The sequence below is a fragment of the Homo sapiens genome, chromosome 12, assembly GCF_000001405.40.
Source record: "Homo sapiens chromosome 12, GRCh38.p14 Primary Assembly".
Lineage (NCBI taxonomy): Eukaryota > Metazoa > Chordata > Mammalia > Primates > Hominidae > Homo > Homo sapiens.
Window position 1 is genome coordinate 108,879,547 of NC_000012.12, and position 24,331 is coordinate 108,903,877.

A 24,331-nucleotide genomic window follows, 5' to 3' on the forward strand; every position below is an offset into this window, starting at 1 on the left:
TGTTTATCCCTGGCAGAGGAAGGGCCTGGAGTCCTGCTGCTTGCGTCTCTGGGATACGGGAGCAAAGAGCCACGCATCCTCATGGCCCACACAGGCGTCACCTCCAGTCTCTCCTTGGCCTCATCTCCCCAGCGTCCTGGAATGGCATCGGGCTGGCCCAGGGAGCCCCTGTCCTGTGCCTCTCCTTTCCCCTCAGGGGCTGCCAGGCTGACCACCCCCACCGCAGGCCAGGCCTACAGTGCCCCATGGAACGTCCTGACCCTCCCCCAGGGTGGCAGCAGGAAGAAGGAAGAAAGGGGATCCTCTCCAGCTGGCCAGAGAGACAGACCTTCTTGTGCTCATCAACCCTCCAAGAATGCCTGCCCTCCCTCCTTCCCCCAAGGCCTGTCCACAGGGGCTTGAGATCAGCCAGAAAAGTCAGGCAACTTTTCAGGGACTGGGAGCGAGGTCTCCCGGCCGGGCCTGGGTCCAGTCTCTGTGGGCAGTGCAGTGCCGAGCCCCACCCCTCAAGCCGTGCCCTGTCCATAGCTCCAGACTTTGACCCTGCACTCCAGTCCGGGCTGGCGGACAGAGGGCTGGAAACAAGACGCTCCAGAATCAGGAGCTTCCCCTCAGGAAATAGCATCCTGTGTCCCCGCACTGCAGTTGTCTGGTCTCTCCAGCAGTTTGGTACTTCCGGTGAGTGGCAGATGCACCTTTGAGCTGGGGACAGGGGTTGGGAGAGGGGAGAGGCAAAGGATTTCATGTCCTCCCAATGTCAAAGACAGGGCTCAACATTACAGCCTAAGGCAGGTGACAGGAAAGGAGAGATCCAGCCTCTCAAACATCCAGCAGAGAGACCATAGGTAAGTGATTTTTCCCTCCCCAAGCCTCAGTTTCTTCACCTGGAACATGGGGATCATAACTCCCCTCTTACAGCGTGAGTCTGAGTGTTAAAAGAGGTGGTGCATGTAAAGTGCTTAGAGCAGATCTAGGCACATAGCAAGTACTCAAATGGTAGTTATTATTATTTTTGGTGGGGGAGTTGGTAGGCTGGTTCTCAAACTTTTATAGCTTCTGTTCCATTTCAAGGATAAACTCTGCAAATAACTTCATGAGAAGTAGCCGTGTGGTGCAACCAGGGAGAACTAATTATGTTCATTCAAATGCCTCATCTCTGGCTTACTGATTTTTTTTTTTAAAAAGAAGTCTTTCATATTCTTTGCTATGGGCACATAGCAATCAAAGGCATCAGCTGTCTCAGATTGCCTTCTAGGGGACAAGGGAGGTCCTAGGCAGATAAATGCAAGACTGAAAGACAAGCAGAAAGCATCAAGTGGCAACTGCATGCCAACTGCCTAAATATTTTTTTGGAGCAGTGCAGAAAGCGCCGATAGAACTGGGTCTAGGTCCGAATGCTGTCCCATACTGACTGCGTAACCTTGGGTGGGTGACTTCTCCTCCCTAAACCTCAGTCCCAGCCTCCAGAATGAGGGCGGTAACCTTCCCTACTTCCTAGAGCAGTTGAGAGGATTGAGAGGATTATGTCGGTACTGCATCTACAGGTGTCTGGCAAGTGGCAGAGACCAAAATACATTGGTTCCCTTCCTGCTCCACACTTACACAGACATTCTAATCACACACACACACACACACACACACACACACACACAAATATAATAATCCCAGCTGTTTGCATCTTCTGGGATACATACTCCAAGCTTGCTGGGTTGAAGTAATGATGTAAAACAGAGGAGAACGGCAACACTAATAAAAACATCAGCAACAACACGAAAATGTCCAACCGAATAACTGAGCTGGGTGCGTTTAAGTCCAAAAGCTCATTACCTACACGCATGAATGATTTTACCTAAGGCTGGATCTGCCACATCTGACAATCTGTCTCTGGCTTGTCATGAGGACCTCATGCATTTATTTTGTATTTTAAAACACACACACACACACACACACACACACACACACACGTTGCTATAATCAGTGTCAACTTTGACTCATATCTTGAATTTTTTTAAAAAAAGATAATTGACTTAGGACTCACACTTTTTTCCTTTTAAATTTTTTTTTTTTTTTTTTTTTTGACAGAGTTTCACTCTTGTCACCTGGGCTGGAGTGCAATGGCATGATTTCTGCCCACTGCAATCTCCACCTCCCAGGTTCAAGGGATTCTCCTGCCTCGGCCTCCCGAGTAGCTGGAATTTCAGGCGTGCACCACCATGCCAAGCTAATTTTTTTGTATTTTTGTAGAGACAGGGTTTCACCATATTGGCCAGGCTGGTCTTGAACTCCCGACCTCAAGTGATCTGCCAGCCTCGACCTCCCAAAGTGCTGGAATTAAAGACGTGAGCCACTGTGCCCGGCCTTTTTGATTTTCCATTCTATTCCTACCAACACTCTAAAAATTCCTACAGGCATTTTATTTTATTTTATTTTATCTTATTTTATATTATATTTTATGTTTGAAATGCAGGACTCTGAAGCTTCAGCTGTTCCTATTTACCGGCTTGATTCTCAGATTTTTCAAACCATGTGATTTACTGGCAAGCATGGCATTTAAGCACCTAGGCTTATGAGTCAGGCTGGCCTGGGCTCTGCCTCTCACCACCTGGGTGTCCAGGAGCTGATATTCCAGTGAGGAGACAATAAGGCAAGGAGCTTTGTCAGCTCTCATAAAAGTTTATAGATGAGGTCGGGCATGGTGGCTCACGCCTGTAATCCTAGCACTTTGAGAGTCTGAGGCCAGCAAATCACCTGAGGTCAGAAGTTTGAGACCAGCCTGGCCAACATGGTGAAACCTTGTCTCTACTAAAAATACAAAAATTAGCCAGGCATGTTGGTGCATGCCTGTAATCCCAGCTACTCAGGAGGCTGAGGCAGGAGAATCACCTGAACCCGGGAGGCAGAGTCTGCAGTGAGCCAAGATTGTACCATTGCACTCCAGCCTGGGCGACAAGAGTGAAACTCTGTCTCGAAAAAATAAAGTTTATAGATGAGGAAACTGAGGTTCGATTAGGATTAACCAACTCATCCTGGTTTGCCTGGGACTCTGATGCACTGACTTTTAGTCTGAAAGTCTGCATCCTGGGAGGACCCTCAGCCCTGGGCAAGCTGGGGAGGTTGGTCACCCTCACTCAGTCAAGTTGAGCAACTTGCCCAGGGTTACATGGCTGGTGTGTGCCCAAGTCAGGCTGCGAACCTGGGTCTGTCTGACTCTCAGCCTGGGCCATACTGTCTCTTAGATTCTTCATGGAGAATTAGGAAAAATACAGAAAGCCCTTTATTCCTCTGCCTTCTCATTGTTAACATATAAAAATGGTCAAGCGGGCGGGTGCAGTGGCACACACCTGAAAGCCCAGCGCTTTGGGAGGCTGAGGGGGGAGGATTGCTTGAGCCTAGGAATTGGAGGTGGCAGTGAGCTATGATTGTGCCACTGCACTCCAGCCTGGGTGACAGAGTGAGACCTTGTCTCTTAAAAAAAAGAAAAAGAGTGGTCAGCTCTCCGGAAATTATGCAGACAGTCAAAAAGCCCAGAGAGGGGAATTAACTTAGCCAAGGTCGCACAGCAAGGCAGAAGTGAAGCCAGGTCTGACTCTGCCTTTCTCTTCTCCTCTTTTTTTTTTTGAGGCAGAATTTCGCTCTGTTGCCCAGACTGGAATGCAGTGGTGCGAACTCGACTCGCTGCAACCTCTGCTGCCCAGGTTCAAGCGATTCTCCTGCCTCAGCCTCCCGAGTAGCTGGGATTACAGGCGCCTGCCACCGCGCCTGGCTAATTTTTGTAGTTTTCAGTAGAGATGGGGTTTCACCATCTTGGCCAGACTGGTCTTGAAGTCCTGACCTCGTGATCCACCCGCCTCGGCCTCCCGAGGTATTGGGATTACAGGCGTAAGCCACTGCAGCTGGTCCTCCCTCTCTCCTTTTGTTCCTGCAATGTCTTTGTTCTATGTGATTTTTCAAAATGCTAGGAGACAGGAAGGAGGCTGCTGTGTGTTGAGGGCCTACTCTGTGCCAGGCGTGGTACCAAGAACTTTTGCTAAACTTCTTATTTAATCCTTAAAATGACCCTGTGAGATTGGGATTAACCCTGTTTTGCAGATGAAGAGCTTGTGTCTCCAGAGGCAAAGTATGGGGGAAGAGGGAAGAGAGAAGACCAAGGGTCCCTGAGAGGGGCTGTCCCCTAAGCCCCAGTATCCAAGCTCGGGCTCGAAGCTGGAAGGAGAATTGCCTAGAGGAACGATACCTTTCTGTTTGTTGGTTCTATCTCCAACTTGGCTTCTGAAACCCCAACAGAGTCCAGTTCTTGTGGGCTGGAGCCGTTTTCCCTCCTTTATAAAACTAGGCCATATTAAGAATGTCCCGCTGTCCAGGGCCACAGGCCCGAGTTGCCAGGAGCTGAGGTCTGCGGGAGGAGAGTTGTGAGTGAAGATGAGGGAAAGTTGAATTTGGCTCTTCTGGGCACAAATAATTCTCTTGTTCTGCCTCAGCAGGAGCCTGCAGAATATTTCCCTGCTGTGCGGGCTTAAGTAGCTTCAAGGTTAAAAGCTGGTAGGCCTTCTAAACTTCTCAGGGCCCAATCAGCCCTGTGCCCCAAGGCAGGTGGAGTTCTGTGCTGGAAGACCAAGTTCTGAGGCCAGACACTGCGTCTGTCATGCTCATAGCTGCATTTGCTAGCTGCCAGCCTGGCACATGGTAGGTGTGCATTAAGCGTGTGTTGAGTTTACTCAAATTGAAATTAAGTCACAGCTGTACCATTTAACTGGCTGTGTGACTTCAGGTAAGTCACATCACCTCTCTGAACCACAGTTTCCTCCTCTGTAAGACGGGACTGATAACAGCAGCCCCTACCTCATGACAGTGTTGGGAGACTTGGATGAATGGATGCTTGTGAAGCACTTAGTGCCGGGGCCAGCTGGCTCACAGTAGGTGCTCCACAAATGTCAGTATATTACTTCTTTTGCATCAGGCAGCTTGTTAAATTTGTTACGTTTGGCATCTTGTTCAATTTCCCATCCATCCCCTCAAGCATAGGTTATTAGAGGTTGAAGCATCTTGCCCAAAGTTAACGGCCAGTAGGTGGCAGAGCTGAGTCCTGAAGCCAGAGCCCATCGCACTAACCACCGGCCTACCCAGCCTACAGTTGGTCGTGCCCTCTGCTGGGTCTTTTCTATTCCCAGCCCAGAAACTGGGTGTCTGGGGACGCTCCCCAGAGAAAGTTGCATCATTCACCAGCCGTGTGACTGTGGCCAAGTCTCGGTCACTTCTCCATACCTCAGTGTTTCCATTTGCAAAACGGGAACAATGATATTCCTTCCTCCTAGGGGTCATCGGGAAGGTCAAATATAAAAAGGGCTTGGTGGTGTCTGGCACCTTCTAAGCCTTCAGTGGATGGTGGCAATGGCGCTAAGGATGATGGAGATGATGGTGATGATGTTGTGCCTCAACCCTTCCTTCCCACAGGCTGCTGCAATGCGTGTGGTGGTGATTGGAGCAGGAGTCATCGGGCTGTCCACCGCCCTCTGCATCCATGAGCGCTACCACTCAGTCCTGCAGCCACTGGACATAAAGGTCTACGCGGACCGCTTCACCCCACTCACCACCACCGACGTGGCTGCCGGCCTCTGGCAGCCCTACCTTTCTGACCCCAACAACCCACAGGAGGCGTGAGTGAGGGTCACATAGGGTAGCCTGGGGTGCCCATGGACCTAAGTCTGCAGAGGGAGTCAGGGTTCCCATCACCAAGAGCAAGCCCCTTGTGGAAGCTCTGATCTAGCATAAAATAAAGAAAATGCCAGGCGTGGTGGTTCACGCCTTTAATCCTAGCACTTTGGGAGGTCGAGGTGGGAGGATCACTTGAGGCCAGGAGTTCCAGATCAGCCTGGGCAACGTGGTGAAACCCCATCTCTACCAAAAATACAAAAAATTAGCCGGGCATGGTGGCGCACACCTGTAATCCCAGCTACTCGGGAGGCTGAGGCAGGAAAACCATTTGAGCCTAGGAGGTGAAGGTGGCAGTGAGCTGAGATTCCGCCACTGCACTCGTGACAGAGTGAGACTCTGTTTCAAAAAGAAAAAAATAAAGAAAAGATTCATAAATATTAAGCCCCTTGCTCTGTGCCAGATACTAGGAGGCTTTGTCTCGTCTTCCCTAAACTGGGTGCCTGTCAATACCACATGATTGGTGAATCTGGAAAACTTCCTCTGTTTTAATTTATACATTTTTATTTATTTTTTGAGATTGTGTTTCACTCTTGTCGCCCAGACTGGAGTGCAATGGCGTGATCCTGGCTCACTGCATCCTCTGCCTCCCAGGTTCAAGCGATTCTCCTGCCTCAGCTTCCCAAGTAACTGGGATTACAGGCATCTGCCACCACGCCTGGCTAATTTTTGTATTTTTAGTAGAGATGGAGTTTCATGTTGGCCAGACTGGTCTCGAACTCCTGACCTCAAGTGATCTGCCCACCTTGACCTCCCAAAGTGCTGGGATTACAGGCATGAGCCATCATGCCTTGCCAAATTTTATCTTTTTAAATAGAGATAGGGTCTCACTATGTTGCCCGGGCTGGTCTTGAACTCCTGGGCTCAAGTGATCTGCCCTCCTTGGCCTCCCAAAGTGCTGGAATTACAGGCATGAGCCATCATGCCTTGCCAAATTTTATCTTTTTAAATAGAGATAGGGTCTCACTATGTTACCCGGGCTGGTCTTGAACTCCTGGGCTCAAGTGATCTGCCCTCCTTGGCCTCCCAAAGTGCTGGGATTACAGGTGTGAGCCCTTGCACCCAGCTGAATCTAGAAAACTTCTAAGTGGGTGAACATCTAAGTGGGTGGATGGATGCACAGATTTATCAAATAAATTGCAAAGGTCATTATGGTAGTTTAGAAACTGCCAGATGGTTCAGCAAATGGAACACCCAATGAATAGCAGCTCAAACAGATTAAAAAAAAATTTTTAAGAGGCATCCTGTCACCCAGGCTGAAGTGCAGTGACATGATCATAGCTCATTGCAGCCTTGACCTCCTGGGCTCAAGTGATCCTCCCACCTCAGCCTCCCAAGTAGCGAGGACACACATGCATGCTATCATGCCTGGATAATTTTCTTTATTTTTTGTAGAGCCAGGGTCTTCCTATGTTACCCAGGCTTGTCTCAAACTCCTGACCTCAAGTGACCCTCCTGCCTCAGCCTCCTGAAGAGCTGGGATTATAGGCATGAGCCACTGCAACCAGCCAGAATTTTAATTCACACAGCTGTAAAAAACCAATGATTCTGATCAGTGGGCAGTGATTCGGGGCCCAGGCTCCTTCCATCTAATGGCTCTGCCGTTTTTCCACGTGCTTTTGAGGTCACCTCAATGTCACCATTCACATGGGCTGGTGACTGCAGAAGGATCATGCAGGACCACACGTGCAGAGTCTTTAGAGTCCCTTGGCCAGAAACAAGTCACACAGTCACATTTAGCTGCGAGAGGGTCTAGGAAATGTAGGTGAGCTGTGTGCCCAGGGGGAGGAGGAAAAGTTGTAGGAGCGGCAAGTCGATGTCTGCCACCAGTGTTTACAAGGAGGGGTGCTTGCAGCCAGACTGAACAGTGTGGCTCATAATCCCCAAAGCCAGGTCAAGGACTTCACTGAAACTCATCAGCCATGTAATCCCATGCTGGAGGTGCACTCCATATGGTTATGATGGGGCATCCTTCATTCCCTCTCTTCTTTATTCTATTAATGGGGAAATATTGGAAAATTTAGGAGGGAGAAGACCCAAGGCATTTGGGGAGTTGCAGGAGTGAACGTGGTGGATTTCTGGGTTTTGGACACACCCCAAGCTCCTGATCATGCCACAGCCCCATGCCAGCTGACCTAAGGTTTTTTGCCCAGCTCAGGGCATTGGGTGATCGAACTCTTCATGACCCTTCCAGGGACTGGAGCCAACAGACCTTTGACTATCTCCTGAGCCATGTCCATTCTCCCAACGCTGAAAACCTGGGCCTGTTCCTAATCTCGGGCTACAACCTCTTCCATGAAGCCATTCCGGTGGGTGAACAGTTCTTGACCATGAGGGATGAGCACCCAGGGCTGGGGTAGTGAGGGTGGGTGCAGCAGAGCCTTAATCACAGATGAGGGCGGGGTGCTTTGAGTCTCGTAGGCAACAGACTCCTGGGTTCAAAACAGGTTTGGTTTAAATTCTATTTTTGCTTTGAAAATTATTTTTGTTTTACATTTTGCTGTTAAATTGGCAGAGGACAAAGAATCTTCTGATGCCCAGGGGAAACTAGCCTTTGATTAGCATGGCTAAAATACAAACATGTTCTGCAGTGACGGGCACTTGGTGCTGAAGCCAAAAGGTTTCAAGTGCCCCTGAAGGTCCCAAGGCTTTTTATCAAGAAGGAATAAAATACTCATCAAAGCAAAAACTGCCAAAGCATTTATTATGTGCCAGGTCCAGTCCTAACTAATTTACAGCTAGCGACTAATTTAATTCTCTTTATAACCGGGAGGTAAGGGCTGTCCTTATCCTCACTTAATAAATGAGAAAACGGAGGCTCCAAGAAATGGAGTAACTTGCCCAAGGCCACAGAGCTCGCCAGTGGCAGAGCTGGGATTTGAACCCAGGCCATCTGTGACTCCATGGTGTCCAGTGTGCTAACAGGAACAGCACAGCCCTGGGACGGTTTGCTCAGGCTCCTTGGAGAGGGTGGTCTGGCGCTGTGCCCAGAGCCCCGTGCCAGCTCTCAAGGTTCATTCAACCTTTGGCACTGTGCTAAGGGCTTTATCCACATTATCTGTTACCTTTCATGGGACCAAGAGTATTTTTTTTTTTTTGAGACAGGGTCTCACTGTATTGCCCAGGCTGGAGTGCATTGGCATGATCTCGGCTCACTGCAACCTCTGCTTCCTGGGTTCAAGCCATTCTCCTGTCTCAGCCTCCTGAGTAATTGGGATTACAGGTGCGCACTACCACGCCTGGCTAATTTTTGTATTTTTAAGAGATGGGGTTTCACTATGACGGCCGGGCTGGTCTCGAACTCCTGACCTCAAGTGATCTGCCTGCCTTGGCCTCCCAAAGTGCTGGGATTACAGGCGTGAACCACTGCACCCGGCCAAGAGTGATTATTAACTCCATGATACAGACAAGGAAACTGAGTCTCAGAGAATTCAAGTAGCAAGTGATGAGGCTGGGGTCTCTGACACTATGCTCTGTTGTCTGACACTATGCTCTGTTGCTTTCTCTCATCCCCGGGGACTCTCACTGTTTCTGCTTTCTCTCCCCTATTTCTGACTTTTCCCCTATAACTCACCCTCGGTCTTACTCTTACCCTTACCATAAATAGGGGTTAAGAACATGAACTCTGGAACTAAGCTGTATGGGTTAAAATCCCAACACCACCATTTATTAGCTGTGTAATCTTAGACAAGTTATTTAATCTTTCTAAGCCTCAATTGGTCCATCTGTAAACTGGGGAAAGAATAGCATCCACCCCAATGGCTTCTTGTGAAGATTAAATGGACCAGTATAAGAAAATGCTTGGAACAGTGCCTTATATGCACTTAGCATTACATAAGTCTCTGTCATTATCATTTTTTTTTTTTTTGAGATGAAGTCTCGCTCTGTGGCCCAGGCTGGAGTGCAGCGGCACAATTTCGGCTTACTGCAACCTCCAGCTCCCAGATTCAAGCAATTCTCCTGCCTCAATCTCCTGAGTATCTAGGATTACAGGCATGCACCACCATATCTTGCTAATTTTTGTATTATTATTTAGTATAAACAGGGTTTCACCATGTTGGCCAGACTGGTCTGGAGCTCCTGACCTCAGGTGATCCACCCATCTCAGCTTCCCAAAGTGCTGGGATTACAGGTGTGAGCCACCTCGCCTGGCCCATTATCATTATTATTGACTTCCATCCCACCCAGTGCCCCCTTTGTCCTTCCTCTTCAGGACCCTTCCTGGAAGGACACAGTTCTGGGATTTCGGAAGCTGACCCCCAGAGAGCTGGATATGTTCCCAGATTACGGGTGAGTTTATTGTCACAGGCAAAGGGGACTGGGGCCTGACGAGTTAGCAGACCTGTCCAGAAGGCAGCAGAGGGTAGAGGCACCAGATTTCCTGTCCTACCCAGGCCCTGGTACCCTGGTCTCCTGGTCCTTGGTCCAGCTCCTTCAGAGAGGCTACCCACTCAAACCTGGCCTTGGGCTGGGAAGGTAGGGGGTATGAAATCACAGATCTCAAGCCCAGAAGCTCCATATCACCATATTGTTTTGTAGATGAAGATACTGAGTTTCAGAGAGGCTAAGTGACTTCCTAAGGTCACACAGCCAAGTGGCCAAACTGGGATTCCAACCAGTCTGTATGACCCCACACCCCTCCTTTCTTTTCTCTACAGCCTGATGCCTCTCTGGTCTTCTCCTCACCCCACCCCACACCACACCTGAATCCCCTCTACGAATGCACATTCAATCTCCACTTGCATTTTCCAATGTCAGATATGGCCTTTTCTGATAGAAAAATTTTCCTTGCATTGAGCTCAAAACCACGTCCCCCCTTGAACTTCACGTAGTGGTCCTGGCACTACCCTTTGGGCCCACAGAACAACATTGCTCCCACCTCCATTTCACAGCCTTCAAATATAGCTCTGATTTTTACCTTTATTTCCACCTTTTGCTTACTGTGACTCTAGCTATGGCTGGTTCCACACAAGCCTAATTCTGGAGGGAAAGAACTATCTACAGTGGCTGACTGAAAGGTGAGATTTTAAGCTTCACTTTGAGGGAGGTACCTCCCAGAGACCAAGTTGTAGTGGAAGATGGTTCGTGGGCTTCCCTCAGCATGGACTAACCCCCAGGTTTGAAGAATACCCTTAGGCCTGGTGTGGGAGCTATCCTTGGTCCTGATCACCGCTGGGCACAGAGGCAATGGATCCTGAGCCTAGCTGAGCATCAGAACCACCTGGGCAGCTGTTTACACATGATGTCCATTAACAACCTCTTTCAAATCCCTAATGTTTGTGTAATAGTTTTAGATGTATTCTTTTAAGGTTTCCAGATACATTTACATCATCTGCAAAACATAAGCTGCCTTTTATTTTTATCTCCCTCTCTCTTTTTTTTTCTTCTCTAACTGCTTTGGCCAATACCTCTAGAACAATGTTACTCATACAGATGATAGTGGATGGCTTTGACTTGTTCCTCATGTTAATAGGAATCTTGCAGTGTTCTAAATTAGCAAACACTCACTTGAGAGATACATTGGTATTTATATTCACATACATTCATATTAAGGGAGATTCCATACCTTTTTTGTGTGTGTGAGATGGAGTCTCGCTCTGTCACCCAGGCTGGAGTGCAGTGGTGCGATCTTGGCTCACTGCAAGCTCTGCCTCCTGGGTTCATGTCATTCTCCTGCCTCAGCCTCCTGAGTAGCTGCGACTACAGGTGCCTGCCACCACCACACCTGGCTAATTTTTTGTATTTTTAGTAGAGATGGGTTTTCACCATGTTAGCCAGGATGGTCTCAATCTCCTGACCTCGTAATCTGCCCGCCTCGGCCTCCCAAAATGCTGGGATTACAGGTGTCAGCCACCACGCCCAGCCTGATTCCATACATTTTTTATATATTACTGTTTTTTAAAGATTTTTAGGCCAGGCATGGTGGTTCATACCTGTAATCCTAGCACATTGAGAGGCCGAGGTGGGCAGATCACTTGAGCCCAGGAGTTCAAGACCAGCCTGGGCAACATGGCAAAACCCTGTCTCTACAGAAAAATTCAAAAATCAGCCAGGTATAATGGTGCATGCCTGTAGTCACAGCTACTTAGGAGGCTGAGGTGGGAGGATGGCTTTATCCCGGGAAGGAGAGGCTGCAGTGAGCTGTGATCATGCCACTGCACTCCAGCCTGGGTGACAGGGCGAGACCCTGTCTCAAAAAAAAAAAAAAAGATTAAAAAAATATGGAATATATAGTGGCTTTTATCAGATGACCTCAGAAGATTTTTTTTAAATGTAGATTTTAGGACCCCACTCTATACCTGCTGAATTAGAACTTCTGGGATAAGGTTCATAAATTTGCTTTTTTTCATTTTTTTGAGACAAAATCTTACTTTGTCACCCAGGCTGGAGTGGGATGTAGTGGTATGAACACAACTCACAGCAGCCTCAACTTCCTGGGCTCAAGTGATGCTCCCACCTCAGCCTCCAAAGTAGCTGGGACCACATGCATGTGCCACAATGCCTATCTAATTTTTAAATATTTTTGTAGAGATAGGGTCTCACTATGTTGCCCAGGCTGGTCTCAAACCCCTGGGCTCAAGCAATCTTCCTGCCTCAGCCTCCCAAAGTGCTGGGATTACAGGCGTGAGCAAACAGGCCTAGCAAAAATTTGCATTTTAAGAAGCTTCCTGGCGATTCTAATTATCAGCCATGTTTGGGAATCATTGTACTAAGACATGGCTATTTCTCCTAACCTGGGGACACATGACCCTTGTCCAGTCTTTTCCAGGAAAAACATGCCCTCAAGATGTTTTTCTATCTTGAGGAAATGATGGAAATGAGATAGTTCCAAGGGTATGCTTCACCTTCTTTTTGGCTTATTTCCTGTTCTTTGGATGTTTCTAGTGTATTTCTTTCTTTCTTCTTTTTTTTTTTTTTTTTTTTTGAGACAGAGTCTTGCTCTGTCACCCAGGCTGGAGAGCAGTGGCGCAATCTCGGCTCACTGCAAGCTCCGCCTCCTGGGTTCATGCCTTTCTCCTGCCTCAGCCTCCCGAGTAGCTTGGAATACAGGCGCCTGCCACCACGTCTGGCTAATTTTTTTTTTGTATTGTTAGTAGAGACGGGGTTTCACCGTCTTAGCCAGGATGGTCTCAATCTCCTGACCTCGTGATCCGCCCACCTCGGCCTCCCAAAGTACTGGGATTACAGGCGTGAGCCACCGCGCCTCGCTGTTTCTAGTGTATTTCTAATCGTGATAGATGTTTTTCCTATGGGATGTTTAAAAGGAGGGTGGATGTCCTCAGCCCACCTCCCTCCTCATGCCCGGCTTCTGACAAAGGGGAATTTGGCACTGGTACAACTCTCCCCTTCTCTACTCTGAATCTCATCGCCTTTGCTGTTACAAAGCAATGTGGTGGTCATAGGAAGTGCTGGGGGCTAAGAGGCCTGGGTTTGAGTTCCAACTCCATCATTGACTCACTCTATGGCCTTCAGCAAGGCCCTTCCCCCACTCCATCTGCCCAACAAGGGGCTTGGACCATCTCTGGTTTCTCAAAGGAGATTTTGTGGACCACCAGTCCAGTAGGTGCTCATGAGCTGATTTGATGACACAGCCATCTTCTCAAGCAGCATCCTGTGCAACTAACGTCCGCAGAAGGTTGTTTGGGAAAGGTCCCTGTGCCACCCTCTTGGTGGGATGGGGCAGATAGCTGAATACTGGGCTTTTTGATGTGTTTGATCATCCCAGGTTAACTGAGAGGGGAGTGAAGTTCTTCCAGCGGAAAGTGGAGTCTTTTGAGGAGGTGAGTTGCAGGGCTGATGCGGTGGATGGGGCAGGGAGAAGAGGGGAGGCCTCTGCTTCTTGCTGCTGAGTCGGGGGCTCCCTTCTCAGGCTCCTAGGGTCCCCACAGGCCTGCCTCAGACCCTTGCCCCAGAAGCACTCAGGTATTCTGAAGGAGGAAGTCTCTGCCTTCATGTTGGTAGTGGGAACAAAGGAACACTGGGATCATGGTGGCCATTAGGAGCTGATTTATATCTGAGACTCAATGAGTTTTGGGTCTAGAGAGCTGGCCGCATTTTCTCAGTGTCAGCTGCACTCCAAGGTCAGAACTTGGTTGCTTCCTAGCCCTACCGACATCTGTGTTGGTCTTTCTGCAAAGTCCAGGCCCTCAGCTGACTCACCTCTAAAGAAGCACCACCACCAATAATAATGACAGGAAAAGCCACCATCTCCAGGCACCAGCAAAAAGAGCTTTACTGTATGGCTTCATTCAATCCCAGCATCTAAAACCCTGCTTGGCACAAGGAAGGCGCTCCGTACATGTAGCTACTAGTGCTATGTCATGAAGACTAACCTGCTCTGGTCAGGCCCTGATGGACACCGAAGATACATGGTCGACCCAATGCAGTCCTCATTCTCAGTCATTCACTCAGGAACAATAGTAGCGTCTTGCAATGTGTGTGTCCCTTAACTTACTCGTGGTGAGAGTCACTGGGGCTGGGTTGGGGAGCTTAGGGGCTCACGATGCGTGCTTGAGATGAGATCATCTCATCTGTAGACAGAGCTGGGGTTCCAACGTGTCTTCTGCAAATGTCTTGGCAGAGTAGAAGGCAAGAGAATAAAGTTAAAAGGAGTCAGAAGGAGAAAGAGAACTCTCTCTGCTTCCTTTCTGACTTCTTTTGGGAGGTTCCAGGAAGATTTCCCCCATCCAAAGAACTGTTTTACAACCACTTTTATATTCAGAGTTGTGCAGGAGCCTCATAACAGCCTATGAACAGCCATGGGCAGCCTCATTTTACAGGGGCAGCTGAGAATTAAGGAGGTAACCAGACATTTTCAAGGTCACACGTCAGATAAATGGCAGTATGAAAATTTGAAGCCAGGCCCCTCTGATTCCTCATTGAGACCTCTCCCCACTGTTCATCAGGGAGTAGACAGATTGAGGGTAGAAGAAAGGGGAAGAGAGAACAGGGAATACCAGGGTCTTCCCCACCTTTCATCCCCCACTACCCTGTTGGTTGCTACCAGGTGGCAAGAGAAGGCGCAGACGTGATTGTCAACTGCACTGGGGTATGGGCTGGGGCGCTACAACGAGACCCCCTGCTGCAGCCAGGCCGGGGGCAGATCATGAAGGTGAGTGTGAGGGTGAGACCCCTACCTTTTGTTAATAGGAAGATCATTCTGCATGCTTATTTCATCCCTCAAGATCATGGACAAATCAGGAACATCTGTTAGAGGAACCCCCCGGACTGCAGGGAATTGACATGTAAAAAAAACAAACCTGTCCCACCCCCATTGCTCTCTTTCAGGATTTCCTCTTGATCGTGAAGCATGCATGTATGCGCTTGTACCTATGTGGGAGCAGCATATGCCTGTATTGCAATAAAAATAGCAAACATTAGAGTGTTTACCAAGCGCGAGATACAGTCCTAAGCACTTTATTGTGTTTATTATTATTATTAATTATTAATTGTGTTATTATTATTATCATTGTTATTATTATTTTTGAGACAGGGTATCACTCCATTGCCCAGGTTAGAGTGCAGTATCTTGATCATGGCTCACTGTAGCCTTGACCTCCCAGGCTCCCACCTTAGCCTACTGAGTAGCTGAGACTACAAGCGCATGCCACCACCATGCTCAGCCAATTTTTTTATTTTTTGTAGAGAAAGGATTTCACCATATTGCTCAGGCTGGTCTCAAACTCCTGGGCTCAAGTGATCCCCCCACCTTGGCCTGTCAAAGTGCTGGGATTACAGGCGTGAGCCACCACGCTCAGCCTATTGTGTTAATTAATTTAGTGATGGCCACAGCCCTTCGAGCTGGGTACTACCATATCGTTATTGTCATCTTACAGATGAAGAAATTGAGGCACAGAGGAGTTAAGTAACAGGCACAAGTTCACACGGTAGTACGCAGTGCAATTGGGATTGGAATCCAGGCAACCTGGCTTAAGAGCCTGTGCGTGCAAGCATTGTTCCATGCCTCCTCTTGCTGTGTGTGTGCATATGAGGGTATGTGTGTGTGCATGTATGTGTGTGTGTGTATGTAAGGGTATGTGTGCATATGTGTGTGTGCATGTGTGAGGGTGTGTGTGCATGTGTGAGGGTGTGTGTGCATGTGTGTGAGGGTGTGTGCATATGTGATGGTGTGTGCACATATGTGAGGGTGTGTGTGCATGTGTGTGAGGGTGTGTGCATATGTGTGACGGTGTGTGTGCACGTATGTGGGGGTGATTGTGCATGTATGTGAGGGTGTATGTGCATATGTGTGATGGTGTGCGTGCATGCACACCATGTGAGGGTATGTGTGTGTGCATGTGTGTGAAGGTGTGTGCGCATGTGAGAGTGTATGTACGTGTGTGATGGTGTGTGTGTGTGAGAGTATGTATGCATGTGTGTGAGGGTATGTGTGTGCATGTGTGTGAGGGTGTGTGCATGTATGTAAGGGTGTGTGTGCATGCATGTGTGTGAGGGGTATATGTGTGGATGCATGTGAGGGTGTGTGTGTGCATGTGTGTGAGGGTGTGTGTCTGAGGGTGTGTGTGTGCATGTGCACCTGTGAATGTTCATAGGTGTGCAGGTGTGTGTGCTTCTGTGTGTAGGGGTGCGTGTGTGTGTTCCTAATGTGGGCTGATGGGTGTAACAACCAAATGAGTGACTGAAGCATAAGTCTCAAATCATCGAGGTTTATGGAGCCAGCTTGAGGGCGCACCCAGGAAAAACGCGAGTCACAGATGCACCTGTGACTCCTTTTTCCAAAGAGGTTCTCAGGAGATTTAGTCTTTATACATTTTCTTTAAAAAAAAAAAGTGAGAGAAGGGTGTAGCAGCGAGAGAATGATTGCATACTTGTGAAACTTTAGTTAGTGCCCAGTAAATCTACATTTTACATAAGATGAAGGTTTGGGCCAGGCGTGGTGACTCACACCTGTAATCCCAGCACTTTGGGAGGCTGAGGCAGGTGGATCACGAGGTCAGGAGTTCGAGACCAGCCTGGCCAACGTGGTGAAACCCCATCTCTACTAAAAATACAAAAAATTAGCTGGGTGTGGTGGCAGGTGCCTGTAATCCCAGCTACTCGGGAGGCTGACGCAGGAGAATCGCTTGAACCCGGGAGGCAGAGGCTGCAGTGAGCCGAGACTACACCACTGCACTCCAGCCTGGCAACAGAGCGAGGCTGTCTCAAAAAAAAAAAAAAAAAAAAAAATTGAAGGTTTGAAGGAAAAAGGAATGGAGGAAGTTCTGTATCTGGGAAGATAAGCTTGTCATTGATGTTATCAGTGTGGAGTCTGTTGAAAGGGCTGGTTTCTGCTTACCCCTTAGGGAAGAAAGCCTAACTTTGGTCAGGTCATTGAGGGAGGGGATATAATGAGACGTGTCGGACCTCCCTTCCCCCCGCAGCTGTGAACTCAGCTCCAAGGTTTCTCTGGGGCTCCTGGGGCCAAGAGGGGGTCTGTTCAGTCGGTTGGGGACTTAGAATTTTATTTTTATTTCTCATGTGTATGCATTTACATGTGTGTACTGGTGCTTTTCTTCGGACATGTGGGTGAGGAGAAACAATGCTTCAGGGAGCAGGGGTGGCTGCCAATTAGGGCAGCTCTTCCTGCAAGAGGCAAGCAGTCAGGTGCAGACTTGGGCCATAGTGTCATGAGAGGTCTTATAAGGAATCAGCCTGGCCACTCTTGTCAGGACATCTGGCCACAGAGGGGAGCAAGGGCAGCCACATTGACTCACCTCCGCTGATGAGACTTTCCTGCCCTGAATCAACAGGTGGACGCCCCTTGGATGAAGCACTTCATTCTCACCCATGACCCAGAGAGAGGCATCTACAATTCCCCGTACATCATCCCAGGGTAAAATTGGACTGTTCTCGGGCAGAAGAGTGGTCCCCTTCATGCCCTCTTCATGACCCTGCTGCCTCCCCCAAGCTCCTTACTCCCTGCAGTTGTTCCCTTTCAATGTTTTTATGTACTTAGCTATTTTTTATTATTATTTTTTGAGACAGAGTTTCACTCTTATTGCCCAGGCTGGAGTGTAATGGTGCGATCTTGGCTCACTGCAACCTCTGCCTCCCAGGTTCAAGCAATTATCCTGCCTCAGCCTCCCAAGTAGCTGAGATTACAGGTGCCCACCACCACATCCAGCTAATTTTTTGTATTTTTAGTAGAGACAGGGTTTCACCATGTTGGCCAGGCTGGTCTTGAACTCCTGACTCAGGTGATCCACCTACCCTTGCCTCCCAAAGTGCTGGGATTACAGGCGTGAGCCACCGTGCCTGGCCCCTTTCAATGTTTTTAGTGAGTTTGAGCTACTGAATCCCTGGGAAGGCAGACTCAGCCTCGACTGAGGTCTACCGTGAACATTCTTTTGGATGACAATAGTGGTGATGCTGGAGACAAAGGCAGTGGATGTAATGTGGTGACACTAAAAGTGGTATGTAGGTGGCTCACGCCTGTAATCCCAGCACTTTGCGAGGCCAATGTGGGAGGATTTCTTGAGCCCAGGAGTTCAAGACCAGCTTGGGCAACATGGCAAGACCCCGTCTCTACAAAAATACAAAAATTAGCCGGGCGTGATGGTGTATGCCTATGGTCCCAGCTATTCGAGAGGCTGAGATGGGAGGATTGCTTGAACCTGGGAGGTTGAGGATGCAGTGAGCCATGTTCACACCACTGTACTCCAGCTTGGGCCACAGAGCGAGACCCCATCTCAAAAAAAAAAAAAAGTGGTGTGAATGGCAATAATGGGAGTGGGAATGGGAATGGTGATTGGGGCTGATGGTGATGATAATGTTAACGGTGGAGATGACAATGTCACTGAAACCAGTGGTGGTGTTCATGGGATGACAATATTGTTGATAGCGGAATGGTGGTATTAGGGATAATATTGTATTGATGGGGAAGACAGCGTTCATGGGGGTGGTGATTAGCGTAAGAGTTGTAGAGTGGTGATGTTAATGGAGGTGGTCTGGTGCTGATGAGGAGATCAATGTTGATGAAGGTGTGATTGGGAGTGGGGATGGTAGCTGGTGCTGATGGAAATGACACTATCAATGATGTTAATACTGTAGCAGAGCTGACAGTCTCAAAGGCAATGTTAATAACATGGTTGCACCAACCATGTTATCTCAATGGCGATGTTACTGGTGTCGTGGAGATGACAATATCAATGGCAATGTTAGTGGTGGTGGTGAAATGATGAATGCAGTTGGTGGTGATGACCTATTAATGATAGTAGCAAAGACAATGTTGTTGATGGAGATGACAACATTGATGGAAGTGGTGATGGAAGAGTTCGTTGTTGGTGTTGATGGTGATGACAGTGGCAATTGAGGTAGTGATGGTGGTGGTGTTAGCAGAGGTGACAAGGTTGATGGTAATGACCTTTATTCATCTCAGAGCCTTCATTTTCCTTCATCCTTGACCCTCCTCATTTGTATCTAGGACCCAGACAGTTACTCTTGGAGGCATCTTCCAGTTGGGAAACTGGAGTGAACTAAACAATATCCAGGACCACAACACCATTTGGGAAGGCTGCTGCAGACTGGAGCCCACACTGAAGGTAAGGTAGGGAGGAGTAGCAGTGCCCTAAACCAAGGTCGTGGGAGCTTGGTAATGAGGACACTTCAGGACGGGAAGATGCCACCGCTGGGATAACTGGGCAAATTAATTCCAGCAAGGGATGTGGAACATAACAGAATTTGATAATGTACAGGGAAGTTCTTGCTATGGGCTAATGAATCCTGTCTGGCCATGGCTGAGAGCCCTTGGTTTTCACATTTGTCTGCGAGTGATGATGACAGTAGTGATGGTGATGAGGATGAGTTGGTACTGATGGTGAGGAAAATGCTGAGAATGGTAATAGTGATGGTGATAAGGTGGTGACAGTTGTTAAAATTATGGTGGTGGCTGATGGTGAGGGTAGTGGTTGATGATGGAATTGGTGGAAAGGTGGAAGCAGTAATGGTAATGATGTTGGTAGCTGATAAAGATGGTGTTGGTGGTAGTGGTGATTGATAAAGATGACTGTGATTATATTAGTGGTGGTGGTGATGAGATTCTAAAAGCTAACTCCCTACTACCTAAAAATGGCAGCAGGAAAAAAAAATCCAGAAATGAGTGATCAGCACTTTTCTTTCCAGAATGCAAGAATTATTGGTGAACGAACTGGCTTCCGGCCAGTACGCCCCCAGATTCGGCTAGAAAGAGAACAGCTTCGCACTGGACCTTCAAACACAGAGGTATGCTCCCATGGCAAGGAAAGTAATGCCCTCTTCCACTCCTCAGATGGCTCTGGCATTTTCAGGGAACAGTCATGTCTGATCTCAAGTTCCACACAGGCTCCATAGCAGGCAGGGGCAGTGGTGGCTAATATCCCCTCCTCTATAAATGGGGAAACTGAGGCTCAATGATGGTTAAGGACCTGCTCAAGGTTACATAGAGGGGCAGTGGTGATGTTAATGGAGGTGGTGCTGATGAGATCAATGTTGATAATGGTGTGACTGGGAGTGGGGATGGTAGCTGGTGCTGATGGAAATGACACTATCAAGTATGTTAGTACCACAGCAGAGGTGACGATCTCAAAGGCAGTGTTAACATGGCTGCACTAACTGTCTCATTGGCAATATTAATCGTGTGGCAGAGATGACAGTATCAATGGCAGTGTTAATGATGGTGGTGAAATGGTGAATGGGGTTGGTTTTCTAAAGTCTGTGGTCAAATAACAGGAAAATGTGTACTTACTGGATGTGTACTTCGTGTCAGACACAGCAGCAAGTCCATTACATGAATGACCTTATTAAATCTCCTCTGGAGCTCTTTGGGATAGGGACAGTTCTCCCTATGCTTCGGATGAGGAAACTGGGGTGAATTAAGAGGTGAAGTCACTTGCCCAAGTCAGACCACTGGTGGAAGGCAGGGCTGGGATGTGATTTGAATTTGACTCCAAGGCTATTTCCAGATATCCATTTTGTGGCTGCCCCATCATCTCTTGCAACTGTTCCAGGGGGTCCCCACCATTCCACCCCGGTGCCAAGAGAAGCTCAGGTGGCATCTGGCTTTGCCCAGGACTCTTCGGGAGGCTCCTGAGTCTTCCAGGGCAGAAGAGCTTCATCTATTCTTTCCACTGTCCCTCTCGGACCTGGCCACCTTCTCTCTTGCCTCTCCTAGGTCATCCACAACTATGGCCATGGAGGCTACGGGCTCACCATCCACTGGGGATGTGCCCTGGAGGCAGCCAAGCTCTTTGGGAGAATCCTGGAAGAAAAGAAATTGTCCAGAATGCCACCATCCCACCTCTGAAGACTCCAGTGACTGCTGCCTCCCCCCACAAGAACTCCCTTCTCCCCTCAGCCAATGAATCAATGTGCTCCTTCATAAGCCATTGCTTCTCCCTCACTTCTTTCCTCAAAGAAGCATGAGGTGAGAGAAAGCCACAAAGTCAGTGCCTGGAGAAGGGTTCAGCCCAACATGGGGCCCCTCTCATCACTGAAATCCCTCTACCTTCTCTGGGTCTGGCATTATAAAGAACAGCTGAGGCTGTCATTCCATGAGTCTTCAGAAGAAAGGACAGCTCAGAAAATCAAAGAGGCCAACTGCCCAGAGCCACAGAAAATGGAGGATAATTGAGGCTAAGTAACCTGATTACAAGTTGTACTAACATATTAAAGGTTCTGAAAAGTCCTGCAGCAAAGACAACTATCTGATGTTGTTTAACCCAGTGCTTGCTAAACCTATCTGGCTATGGAACTCTTTTGCCCAGAGCACCCATGAATGCCATGACACAAATCTGAGAAAATGCTGGAACAGATTTTGTTGTATCTGTTGTGTTTGTTGTAGGAGGTTATACATACAACTGGGGTGTGGAGAGGGCAGAGAGGTGAGGCACTGAACTAGTAACACATGGTGTTTGTTCCACATCTAGAATTCCAAATGGCATCAGCTATTCACCGAGTGGCCCCATGAGCACCACGTAACCTTTGAGGAGGGGCCACTGGAGGGATCATCCCACAAGGAACCCCTTCATAGAGAACTGTTTTAGTCCATTTTCTGTTGCTTATAACAGAATATCTGAAACTGGAGATTTTTTTTTTTTTTTTTTGAGACAGGATCTCACTCTGTCACCCAGGCTGGTGTGCAGTGGCATGATTTTGGCTCACTGCAACCTCCGCCTCCCAGGCTCAAATGATCCTCCCTCCTCAGCCACCCGAGTAGCTGGGACTACAGGCGCTTGCTACCATGCCCAGCTAATTTTGTGTGTGTGTGTGTGTGTGTGTGTTTTGTAGAGAGTGTTTTGTAGAGACTGGGTTTGGCCATGTTGTCCAGGCTGGCGTTGAACTCCTGGGATCAAGTGATCCTCCTGCCTCAGCCTCCAAAGTGGTGGGATTATAGGCATAAGCCACCACGCCTGGCGGAAACTGTGGAATTAATAGAGAAAAGGAATTTATTTATTACCGTTATAGAGTCTGAGAAGTCCAAGGTTGAGGGGCCACATCTGGTGAGAGCCTTCTCTCTGGCTGGTGCAGAGGTGGGGACTCTCTGCAGAGTCCCAGGGAGGCTTAGGGCATCACGTGGTGAGGGGGCTGATTGTGCTAATGTGCTAGCTCAGCTCTGTCCCTTGTCTTAGAAAGCCACCATTTTCCTTCCCAAGATGACCCATTAATCCATTAACCTAATAACCCATTAATTGATAAATGGATTAATCCATTTATGAGAGCAGCGCTCTTAGGATCCAATCACCTCTTAAAGGCGCCACCTCTCCAGACCACCACTAAGGTGGTGGACTAAGGACTAAGTCTCAACGTGAGTTTTGGCAGGGACGTTTAAGCAATAGCAAGAACTAAACTCACCAAGCATACTCCTTTTTTGGGGGGCAATTTAACATCTCTCTTGTCTTTGGGCTGGCACCCTCGGAAATGACAAACAAGCTCCCAGATGTTTTTGAAAGCCTTAAATGAGCCTGGGAGACCCCATAGCATCTTCATCCCTAATTACCAGCCTCAGCCTCTGAGGTCGATTTTCACCTGTCTGGGTTTCTGTGACAGGCCAGAGCCTAGGAAGCCTCGTGCATCTTGGCCCAGGAGTGCCCCGTGTGCTGTGAAGAGGTCTCAGTTGGCTCCTGCCATGCCCTGCCATTTCCATGAGGGCTGTTTCATGAAGCACCTGCCATGATGCTGGCCAAGCCTAGTCTAAGTAGGGTGAGAGAGCCGAGATTTAAGGTAGACATCAATCCTAACAACAACAGTTATTATTGTTATTATTTTGAGACGGAATCTCACTCTGTCGCCCAGGCTGGAGTGCAGTGGCGCAATCTCAGCTCACTGCAACCTTCACCTCCCAGGTTCAAGCAATTCTCGGCCTCAGCTTCCAGAGTAGCTGGGATTACAGGCGCCCGCCAACCTGCCTGGCTAATTTTTGTATTTTAAGTAAAGATGGGGTTTCACCATCTTGGCCAGGCTGGTTGTGAACTCCTGACCTCATGAGCCACCTGCCTTGGCCTCCCGAAGTGCTGGGATTACAGGTATGAGCCACCGCGCCCAGCCAGTAATTATTATTATAGCTAAAACTTAATATATTCAGTCTGGGTACCATACTTTGTGCTAAACTCTTACAAAACATTGCTCATTTAATCCTTACACATGCCTCATGAGGTAGCTATTATCCCATTTCATAGGTGAGAAGACTGAGGCAGAGAAAGGCAGCCTGGCCGGGTGCGGTGGCTTACACCTGTAATCCCAGCACTTTGGGAGGGCGAGGCAGGTAGATCACTTGAGGTCAGGAGTTCGACACAAGCCTGGCCAACATGGTGAAACCCTGTTTCTACTAAAAATAAAAAAATTAGCGGGGCGTGCTGGCAGGTGCCTGTAATCCCAGCTATTCTGGAGGCTGAGGCAGGAAAATCACTTGAACCTAGGAGGCGGAGGTTGCAGTGAGCCTAGATCATGCCACTGCACTCCAGCCTGGGCAACACAGTGAGGCTCTGTCAAAAAAAAAAAGAAAGAGAAAGAAAGAAAGAGGGAGGGAGGGAGGGAAAGAGGGAGGGAGGGAGAGAGAGAGGAAGGAAGGAAGGAAGGAAGGAAGGAAGGAAAGAAAGAAAAGAAGAAAAGAAAAGAAAAGAGAGAAAGGATGGAAGGTAGCCTAAAGTCAATAGCTGGGATGCGATAGAATAGAGATTCTGGCTCAGAAATTATGCAATTCCAGTGCTTCACTTTCTTTCCCCGCCCCCGACAGAGTCTTGCTCTGTCGCACAAGCTGGAGTGCAGTGGCATGATCTTGACTCATTGCAACCTCCGCCTCCCGGGTTCAAACAGTTGTCCTGCCTCAGCCTCACGAGTAGCTGAGATTACAGGCACGCACCACCATGGCCGGCTAATTTTTGTGTTTTCAGTAGAGACGGGGTTTCACCATGTTGGTCAGGCTGGTCTCAAACTCCTGACCTTGTGATCTGCCCACCTCGGCCTCCCAGGTGCTGGGATTACAGGCGTGAGCCACCGCACCAGGCCGAGTGCTTCACTTTCAACTACCACACAAGACTGAATCCAAATTGTGGAGGGGAGCAGGGGGTGTTGGCGGGGTGGGGAATATGTAGCTATGAAGGGATCGGTTGGGCCTCTTCCTCAACTCTCTCCGCAAGCACACTGAAAA

General features: G+C 48.5%; 1 protein-coding gene and 1 long non-coding RNA gene across 6 annotated transcripts, besides 2 other annotated features; one reads left to right on the plus strand and one right to left on the minus strand.

Annotated features, from left to right (window-relative positions):
- Positions 306–923: an enhancer, noted in NCBI's record as "H3K27ac-H3K4me1 hESC enhancer chr12:109273628-109274245 (GRCh37/hg19 assembly coordinates)". NCBI's record gives its function as "activates a minimal SCP1, AML or CMV promoter by ChIP-STARR-seq in naive H9 embryonic stem cells {active_cell/tissue: H9 hESC(naive)}" and the evidence as "EXISTENCE:reporter gene assay evidence [ECO:0000049][PMID:30033119]".
- Positions 546–21,497, plus strand: DAO (D-amino acid oxidase). Of its 5 annotated transcripts, none has more exons than NM_001413634.1 (12): positions 546–678; positions 764–845; positions 5,452–5,654; positions 7,904–8,018; positions 9,923–9,999; positions 10,662–10,727; positions 13,436–13,490; positions 14,717–14,821; positions 17,460–17,542; positions 19,133–19,250; positions 19,831–19,929; positions 20,858–21,497. In NM_001413634.1, the coding sequence occupies exons 3-12, from the start codon at positions 5,461–5,463 to the stop codon at positions 20,987–20,989; spliced, it is 1,044 nt and encodes a 347-aa protein (NP_001400563.1). In that variant the 5' UTR covers positions 546–678; positions 764–845; positions 5,452–5,460; the 3' UTR covers positions 20,990–21,497. The 5 variants fall into 5 exon arrangements, with proteins under 5 accessions (NP_001400563.1, XP_011536306.1, NP_001908.3 ...); XM_011538004.3 differs by having other exon boundaries at positions 768–845; NM_001917.5 differs by lacking the exon at positions 764–845.
- Positions 10,754–10,954: a silencer, noted in NCBI's record as "peak1937 fragment used in MPRA reporter construct". NCBI's record gives its function as "represses an SCP1 promoter by STARR-seq MPRAs in K562 erythroleukemia cells {active_cell/tissue: K562}" and the evidence as "EXISTENCE:reporter gene assay evidence [ECO:0000049][PMID:32103011]".
- On the minus strand, positions 13,919–20,950 carry LOC124903011 (uncharacterized). The gene is made up of 2 exons (XR_007063453.1): positions 20,432–20,950; positions 13,919–14,282 (listed from the first exon to the last, which is right to left on the minus strand). It is a non-coding gene; the product is annotated as an uncharacterized LOC124903011 (long non-coding RNA).

Excerpts from the sequence above, each read along its gene's own strand:
- DAO (NM_001413634.1), top strand. The coding sequence starts at position 5,461 with ATGCGTGTGGTGGTGATTGGAGCAGGAGTCATCGGGCTGTCCACCGCC. Across the intron at positions 5,655-7,903 it reads CCCAACAACCCACAGGAGGC|GGACTGGAGCCAACAGACCT; the intron begins GTGAGTGAGGGT and ends TGACCCTTCCAG. Across the intron at positions 14,822-17,459 it reads GCCGGGGGCAGATCATGAAG|GTGGACGCCCCTTGGATGAA; the intron begins GTGAGTGTGAGG and ends CTGAATCAACAG.